Genomic DNA, 9,585 nt, shown 5'->3' on the forward strand with positions numbered 1-9,585 from the left:
GTGTTATACCTCCTATAACAATGGTATTAGGGAGTGGTGTATTTGGGAGGTGGGGCTTTTGCTCATAGGGGTGGAACCCTTCTGAATGGGATTAGTTCCTTTATAAAAGAGACCTCCGAGAGCTCCTTTGCCCCTTCCACTATGTGAAGACACAGTGAGAAGCCAGCAGTCTTACAGCCAGGAAGAGAACCCTCACCAGAACCCTGATCTCAGAATTCTGGCCTCCAGAGCTGTGAAAAATAAATTTCTACTATTTATAAGCCAGCCAATCTCTGCTGATTTGTTATTGCAGCCTGAATAGACTAAGACAGTACTTGTTTAAAATATGCATTTCCCACCTGTCCTCCCAGAAAATTCTGATCCAGGAGGTTCGAGGTGGGACCTGGGAAACATTTTCAACAAGGTTCTCAAGTGATAATTAAAATGAGCAACACTGCGTTGGAACAGTGGTTCTCAACTCTAACTGGGCAGCTTTAAAAAATCCTGGTCCCTGGATCCTACCTCTAACCAATGTAATCAGAATCTTTGGTGGCAGGACCCAGGCATTTGTACTTTTTAAAAAAGAATCCTCAGGTGGCTTTAATATGCACCTAGGATTGACAATCATTGTTCTCAATGTTCTTGTGAATATTAAAATAGATTCTGGAAAAATGCTGTGGGATAATACATTTTTACCTCTAGTGCTTCCCTAAGATAAAATATATTTAATTTGAGTAAGTGTTAAAATCAGAATATTTCAGATACCATGTAGAGTCAATTTGAGTACCAGATAGTCAACATTTCTGGGGTGAAATAAGTCAGTCTCTAGACTTTCTTCAAGAACTTTACCAATATTCTATTTGGGCTTTTAATCATGTATATAATTCACCCTAGTAACCCCTTAGCAACAGACTGTGATATGCAGATAGGATGCAAATTATCAGGTGAAGAAAGTAGAGAAATGCAGAAGCAAGATTTGAGGTTAATTGTGGTAGAATTTAAAATTGTGGCCAGGAACAGACTTCATTATCCTCCTTCTTTTTGCTTCCAGAAAAGAATCTGCACAGGTGTATTTACCTAGGTGATCTCCAGTATGGCGATTCTTAATTGTCCATCTCAGCTTTTGGAATATGTGGAAAGCCAGGCTCTGATCTGGATAATGACACAAGGATGTTGGCAGATTATTATGTCTCTTGATTTCAGGGAGTTTAGCTTTATTTTTGTAGTGAGGTGCATTAGTTGAGGAAGATCCAGTACCAGATGGTAATGTTGGCTGGGAGTGGTTTTCTCACCTACATTTGGCAGCTTTACTCGGAAGTGGTGCTTTCAGTGCCTGAGACTTCCAGTCTATGCTACTTAACATGATCATTGGGAAGCTTTAGGTGGTATAGAAGCAATGACACATCTCATTAAAGGTCCCATAACTATGAACATCTGACATCTGTGCTGCAAATAGGACTGAATAAAGCCTTCAAGTGGTTACAGATTCAAGGGGTATGTTGTTTTTTAAAGGCACGGCTGAAATTCGTTATATTTACCAGTCTTGTAATTTCTAGAGGCATTTTTGACTGGAAGACATAGATTACACATTAATAAACTGCTCCTTTCAAAGATGACCTCCTCCTAAATGGGTTCCCTCTTTCCCAGCATTTAGACAATGGTTTCAGCTGATGGCTTATCCATGATTTAGCAATAATCATAACAATAGCTATCATAATTTGATACCTATAATATGCTAGGATACTTTATATATAAGTGATACAATAGCTCTCCAAGATATTCCCACTTTGTGGATGAGGAACCTGGGGCTCTGAGGAATTAAGGAACTTGCCAAAGACCATAAAACTCCTAAGTGACAGAGCCAGGATTCTGCCAGCTGTCTGGTTGCCCAGTGGAGTCTCTGTCCATCTTGTCACCAGCCCCCGCACTGTGTACAGGAATGGAATCAGCATTCATTGCTATAAACTGCAGTAAGGTAAGTGAACATTCATAAAAGTTGGCCTGTAGTTTAGTATTTAAACTGGAAAAATAAAAAAAGGCAAGACAACCAGATTCAGCCTTCAAGGATCTTACCATCCAGTTCTTTTATCACATTAAAAAATAACAGCCTGATTCTTTATACACATTTCTAGATGCTTTAAATTTTTAAAATAGTGAGCTGTTTAGTGAAATCAGAAAATAATTTTTAAAAATCTAAATATGTTCATCCTAAATTTGGCCTGGTTCCTTACAGCTGCAGAAATTCATTTTCACCCCATTCCCCATCCCCCTTCCTGAAGCCCTAAAGCACACACCCAGTGGGAGTCCCCTCTGTTTCCCAAAGGAAATATTTCATTCATATAATGTCTCCTTTGTAATCAACACTGAGAAATGTCACTTTGATTAAACACAACTCTGAATGACTAAGACCACAGTACAATAAATTCTCCAGAGCTATCTTTCAGAACAACTGATTGCTCTCCAGTCTTAATCCTCCAGAGTCTTATTTAATCAAAATGATGTTGCTAATTAAGGATTAAAACCTCCGAATAGAATAAAAAAGAAGGATTTTTCTTTCTCCTTTGGGCAGGTCAAGGAGGCAGAATTTGCTGCAAGGAAGTAAAGAGTCCCTTCTACCTTTGGTAAGACTGCATTGTTCTCTGACATTAGGACTTAATCCAAAATAGGGCTGAGTGCTTTGTAATATTAATATAATTGGAGAAAGAAAAAAGGGGAGCAAGAGAAAGAAAAAGAAAGAAAGAGAAAAGAGGAACTGCCTCGGATAGCTACATATGCCTATACATACACATATAGACACTATTTACTCTAAAAATGGACAATGTAGCTCACATCTGTTTGACATCCACTGATAGATAACAAAGAATAACAAAGAAGTTTTATACTAAATTCTTAACTACCCTCCCTTAAGATCCATATATTAATTTGTTTTCTTGAATTTGTATTTGGTAATATAAATTGTTTCCTTAAAAAACACAAAAACCGACGAACTCCATAAGAACTCGTTGGGAGAGACAAAGATTCACAGGAAGGCTGTTTGATTTTCATGGAATATAAACTCTTTTAGGTGTTGGGAGCGAACTGGGTGAGAAACAGAGATGCTGGGTGATGCTTTAACAAATTGCAAAATACTTCTTTCATCTTTGCATCTTCTCTCTGCATTGGCCTAGAAATTTATAATCTCTGCCAAATTAGTCTATTACAATACAGACATACTAACAGCTACCATTTTTTGATCACTTACTATGTGCCAAGTTCTTTGCCAGCAATACACATGGTGTTACCTCTAATAAAACCGGAGAAGAGGAGGTATTATCCCCCTTCAGAAATGAATAAACTGAGGTAGAGAATAAATGACTAGGTCAAGGTCAGTCAGCCTGTGTTAAGCAGAGTCCAGACTTCCACCCAGGTCTCTTTGGTTCCAAAGCCACATTCTATTCTGCAGGACAAGGCACTTCAAATCTTTTTACCTGGAGGATAAATGTGTCCGCGTGTGTTGGGAAGGTGCTGGTGAGTTGTACTGGTCTGCATGAGACTTAGAAGCTCCTGTGATTACTGACTGAATCATCATCACAGATTCATCACATCATCACTTAGCCCAATTCATCACAAAGACTGAGCAACTACTACCCAAATGGAATCAGAAAGTAAACAGTGAGAATGGTCATAAGCCTCTTTTCTCTCCTAGCCAGTGCTACTTACCAGTTAAAAAAAGACATCGTTTTTTGTGATCCATACTCCTGAAGGCCAAAAGCACCCAGTGGACAGACGATGGCTCTTACGCCTCCAATGCCAAGGCAAATGGTCAGCAGTGCTACATAAAACAGCCTGTGCTGCTCTGTTTTTGGTATGTTGTTAACTGCATGGTAAGTGCCCAGATAGAAATCTTCCAAGGGAAAAGCCACCACAGATAACAAAGCAGTGCCTGTAGGTGGAGAAAAAAAAAGAGTAAATGTAGCATAGAACAAGTGGATCACCAAATCACATTTTAAACAGGGTTTTTCTCTGACAGTGGCATCATTTTGTGATTGTCTTATCCAAACATTTATGGTAGTCATTGCAATTTCAGGGATAGCCTGATGTTTTCCAATTGTAAAAATTTCCTTCAATATGTGTCTCAACTAATCCGGAGTTTTAGGTTTTTTTTTTTCTCCTCAAGCTTGAACTATGTTTTCTCTCAGAATGTATGAGCAAATCATGTTTATTTTGCCAAAATTAAAATAACTCAGGAAAGCATTGTATAAAAAATGAAGCTGTTAGTATTCCCACCCCCAGAGAAAACCACTGTTAATAAAGGTTATTTGTTCTTAATCAATCGAGTGACAGAAAACACCATGATCTCACACATCTCAGAAGCTTATTACCTAAAAGCTTTTAAGAAGAACATTATCAGAGTTAGAGGAGAACACAGCCTTTTTTTTTTTCTTTCCTACTTCTGTTTCTCCTTGTAATGTCTTTCTTATTTCTCTTATTTCTCACACAGCTGGATGGAGCCTTCTTTGCCACAAACAGAGTTGAGAAAGCTGGGGACAGAGGAGTGTGAGTGGAAGGAGAGGGGACCTAAAGTGACAAAAGAAGGTCGAGTATCCTTCTCTCTTCCACCTTGCAGGGACCACACTTGATGACTTTCCTTGTCTAATAAAAATAACTATACAATTCCATGCTTTTGCTAAGCTCTTTATATTTTGCCAAGCATGCTCATGGACTATATTGTTTCATCTTGGAAAAACTTTGTGATGTGAGTGGATAGATTTTCTTATTCAATTTTTTTTTAAAGAAATAAGTTCAGTGAGATTAAGTGGCTTGCCCAATGTTATAAAGTAACCCAGTTGTAATCTCCCTCTTCTTGGACCTCCTACCATCAAGTAGTCAAATAAATTTTTTTTTTTTTTTGGAAATAGCATTCCCCCCCATCAGATTACAAAAGTAATACATTCTTACTTCAGAAAATTTGAAAAATAGAGGAAAGCACTCAGAATAATACAAAAGGCCCATAATCTCATTACTCAGAGATCATCTTTACATATATAATTTTACTTTTATAAAATAAAATATTTTAAAAATATTTATATTTTACTTAAAAATATTTTACTTATATATAAATATATTTTATAAATGTATTTTACTTAAATAAATTGAGGTTACACTGTTGAGTTTTTAATGTAACCAAATAATATGAACAATTTTTAAAATACCTTTATACTTTTCCAACATGATTTCTAGTGATGATGTGATATTCTAATCATAATGTGTTTTAAAATACCTTTTCAGTTATTTTTAAATGAATACTGTAAAATACCCTGACACATAAGTTTTGTGCACATCTTTATTAGCCTAAGTTCTCAGTCAAAGGCATTCCTATTTTTATTGCTTCTTAATACCACTGGCAAATGTTCTTTAACAATGCAACAAGTTAATCTCCTACCATCATTGTATGAGAAGATCTTCATTCATACTAGTTAGCATCATTAATTTTTTTGTTTTGATGATTCGATTAGTGAAAAATGGCTCCTCCATGTTCGTTTTGCTCTTCATTTTATTAATTTGGCATTAATGTTATTTGGTATAAATTTTTATACAGTTATTTCATGTGATTTGTTTTCTCAATTAGATTATAAATTCCTTACAGATAAAAATTTGGTCTAATGCTTCCATCTCCCCTACAGAGGCTTTCACAATGTAAAGACTATATGCCCTTAATAGCTATTTGGCAACAGATTCATTTACCATGAGGTGAGCCCTTTAAATTATTGAGTTTGAAATGTTCCCTTTTAAGGTTAGCCAGATATGAAACTAACTGCTCTCTTTCTACCACTTAGTCTTCTCTTCTGTAGGTGTGACGTGAGGCCTGGCTAGACAAAGGGATGTCCAAAGAGGAGGGACAGGACAACTATTTCATGCAGGAACTATTAGGAACAAGGCACTTTTAGTTTGAATGATATATTTGTGTAACTTAGGCACTTTACTTCCATCTTTTGAGAAAATGTCATAATAGGCTGATTGTGTTAAATCAAAACTTTATCCCTATCTGTTGTAAAATGATGCAGTAAAGAGACAAAACAATGACATATATGAAGAAAAGTCTCCTCTGTGATGTGTGCAATTGTGTATCTCATCATCAGTATGCCTGCATTTAGTAGCTCTGTAGAAGCACCATGATGTGTCATACCCCCTGCCAGGTGATGGGGGTCCGCTGAAGGAAATGTTGAGTCCATCAGAGAAGTCAGCCATGCAGGTGGACAATTATATTATAAAGTGATGGATGCAATCGTATAAGTATTATATGGGTGTGGTTGAACACAGAGAAGCTAGCAACAAACACTATTTGGTTCTTGAAAGAATAGCAGGAGTTTTCCAATCATGGATAAGGGATGGAAAGATAAGGGAAGGTGACAATTTCAGAAAGAGAGAAGAGCATGTACAAGATTAGAAAACTAGGGAAGGAGGCCAGGAGAAGTTAGCAAGGTTGGGGTTGCGTGTTGAACAACAAGTCTAGAGAGGTGAACTTAGAATAGGTTGGTAAGGTTGTTGTATGCTAAATTAATAAGTTTGGATTTCATTTTTTAGATAATAGAAGCAATATAGAGATTTATTTGTTCAGGAAGTCAGTGTTGTTGGTAGAATGGAGTACAAGCTGGAGACTGACTGAGAACTGGCAGCCGAGTAAGTAGGCCATTGGAATGGTTAAAAAGAAGAAAGCTGCATTTTTTCAGCTAGGGTAGTAGCAATTCAGACAGAAGACCTTTCTTATATATAACCTCTGAAATTTAGTGACAGTTGGAATTTGATGGCAGCTGTAAGTGGAGGGCAACAAAGAAATAACTTTTAGTAAAAAAATGAATGGATGTAGAGTTGACTTAAGTCTTTTGTTTGCCAGATTCCAAAGTTGGGATTTCCATCCTGTCTGATGACTGACCTCAGAATTTAGACTGATAGAAATTACCATGTTAAACAAGAAGTCAACAAATGCTACTGGTGTGGCCTGTTACCAAGGTAAGCAGAGTAAGTTAGTCTGGGATTTGCTTAAATGTCTTCTTATCAGAAAACTTTTTCTCGGTACCAAGTAGCAGCCTCATCACCATCCATTCCATCCTGTCCCCCTACCCAGCTTTATTTTTCCATCCTAACTCATTGCCACATGACATCATATCTATTTCCTCTTTTATTTTCTCTCTCCCTGCACCAAAAAGTCAACTTTAGCAGGAACAGACGACTTTCTTCTCTATTGCATTTCCAGACCCAGAATAATGTCTGGTACAGAGTAGTCAATAAGAAATATTTGTTGAATGTTGAGTGATTATTTGCCATGCAGTGACCTAGTTTTTATTCCACAGAACTAAAGCTGTGAAGTTTCCAGGTTTGACTTAAACTCCAATGGATTCTCTGAATGGTAATTTACCACCTGCCTGAGATTGTGTGATATGTTGAGTACCTGATATCTATCCATCTCTTTCTCATCTGTCCCCCTACCAATACTCATTTCAGCTGCACTTCTCATTATTGGTGAACAGCATGCTATATTCCCAAGTTGCTCAGATCAGAAACTTGGAGCTAATTTTTGACCCCCATCACATTTGTACCTTTATTTAGTTGCCTTACAGCTTTTCACTTGTTCTCTCCTGAATTGGCACTTTATTGCTTAAACCATCATCCTGAGATTTTCTGATCTCTCTCTATTTAATTCCTCACTGTGGTTGTCCATCCTGTATTGCAGAATAGCATTTCTCAAATGTTGTTTTCATGATATTTTCAGAGACTTCTTGTTGCTTAAGAAGAATAACTTGAACTTTTCAGTTTAAAATTCTAGTCTGTTCTTCAAGTTGCTCTCTATTTCTTATTAAACTATCTTGATATTTTCCCAGCATTTCTCACAATCGGTCCCAAACTTTTGCAGATATATATTAGTATATATGTAAAGATGCACACTATAGTGTCTAATTTACTCATTTCTAAAGCATATAATCATAGTTAAAAATATAGAAATCATGCCATCATATGCAATCTTAATTACTATATGACTAATTAAAAGACCACCTTTGGATAAAAACATTTCTCAATTATTTTACATGAACTTCAAAAACCTTTTTTAGCACATTTCATCTTAGTTGTGAAGCAAATACATTTCACATTTCTGAGGGAATTTGTCATGAATTTAGGCTTGAGGTAAAAAGGTTTTGGGAAAGGAGGGCATTCTAAGGAGTAAGATAGATATGTAAAGGAGTAATTATTATAAAATATAAATGCAATGATATAGGCACAAAACATTCTCTAACACACACACACACACACACAGACTTACTAGCATTCTTCAAATAGTACAAAGAATGAAATACATTGAACCCACATTCTTACTTCATTTATCACATTTTATGCTAAGAGCAGAGTGAAAATAATATAAACTAAAAATTCTAACAAAAATCTACTTAATTAAGTCACAAAACAATCCAGTCAGCAGAGGACACTCACCTAGAAAATGTAGAAACAAGCAAATGTACACCAGTTTGTTTCTTCCTAAATAGACATCAGTGAGCCATCTGACAAACACAGGGGTAAGTATTGAAGTTCCAATAAAACACAAGTTTAAGATGGCTGCTTGGCAATTGTGATAGCCAAGCTTGATAGTGCAAAAGGGGATCATGTTGCAGACGACTTCAAAGAACGTGAACCTCTCACACAGCTCCACCAGAAGCAAGCAGATTCCAACCTGAATTTTTTTCACAGAGTGTGAGGAACACAAATCGCCAATATGTCTTACAGTTTTCTCCTTCTCAATGCTGTGATATAAGTGTACTTTCTCATCAGTTATGGTAAAGCCTGTAACAGACATGACTACCCTCCTTGAACAAAACTTATGTTAGTGGTTTGAACTTGGTGATATTTTGAGCCCCATCCCTCTGATGAAAAAAATAAGAACGTTGCTTTGAATTTCACATCTCCATGCTAGAATTTCATAAGGTTTGTTTTTTGCACATGGACGTTGTTCCTTTTGATGATCCAAGAGCATGAGTATTTAAATGTTCACAGTAGCTCAGTGTACCCAAATCTGATTTGTTTGCTTAATTACTTAGCGGCTAAATTAGGATCGTCCTCCAAAATTGTATTGAATTACATGAATCCAGTTGCAAACATGTGGAAACTCATCTGCCTCATACTGATAAAGGTTTAAATATTGAGGCAGAAGAAGCAGGTTTTCGGGAGAATTTGAGCACTAGATCAAGAAATAATTTGAGTCTAATAATTTCTGATACTTTAATTAAACAAGCCAGAACAGTACCAAGAGATAAAGCGCAAAAGGAAATCTGTTTTGAAGGGCACGATATCTTATCATTATTACATTTCTTGTTATTTTTGGTTGGAATTCTGATAAGAAACTTAATTAGGTAACAAAAGTGCTAGTACATTTAGGTAACAAGCAGAGTTTACAAGAAAGTAATTTAAGTGCACTAATGAAAGGAGAAAATATTAAACGAAACCCTGCTTCCTTTTAGTTGACCCCATGCTTGTAGAACAGCCTCTCAGAGGAAATCAGAATCAAAAGGTGCTATTTAACTCCTTTATTATTAATCAGTAGTCAGGGATACAGCAACCAGCCTACACAGGCTTTGGGGA

At 36.5% G+C, this 9,585-nt stretch overlaps 1 protein-coding gene and 1 long non-coding RNA gene across 3 annotated transcripts in view; one reads left to right on the plus strand and one right to left on the minus strand.

Moving 5' to 3' along the window:
- LOC101928362 (uncharacterized) overlaps positions 1 to 7,643 on the plus strand; it is a 169,017-nt gene extending 161,374 nt beyond the window's left edge. The window contains exons 6-11 of one of the 2 annotated variants that reach the window (XR_001749028.1): positions 2,549 to 2,600; positions 3,665 to 3,823; positions 4,460 to 4,554; positions 5,643 to 5,709; positions 6,854 to 6,969; positions 7,311 to 7,643. This is a non-coding gene — a long non-coding RNA (uncharacterized LOC101928362). Of the gene's footprint in view, positions 1 to 1,030; positions 2,601 to 3,664; positions 3,824 to 4,459; positions 4,555 to 5,642; positions 6,970 to 7,310 lie in introns of both variants that reach the window. The other variant, XR_001749029.1, reaches the window with a different exon arrangement.
- The window catches only part of SLC15A5 (solute carrier family 15 member 5), an 89,201-nt gene extending 80,398 nt beyond the window's left edge, over positions 1 to 8,803 (minus strand). Inside the window, exons 1-2 of the mRNA NM_001170798.1 lie at positions 8,443 to 8,803; positions 3,679 to 3,901 (exon numbers count right to left, since the gene is read on the minus strand). Coding sequence (NP_001164269.1) covers positions 3,679 to 3,901; positions 8,443 to 8,803 — 584 coding nt within the window. The remainder of the gene's footprint in view (positions 1 to 3,678; positions 3,902 to 8,442) is intronic.
- Positions 8,804 to 9,585: the final 782 nt, after the last annotated feature.

The sequence above is a fragment of the Homo sapiens genome, chromosome 12, assembly GCF_000001405.40.
Source record: "Homo sapiens chromosome 12, GRCh38.p14 Primary Assembly".
NCBI lineage: Eukaryota > Metazoa > Chordata > Mammalia > Primates > Hominidae > Homo > Homo sapiens.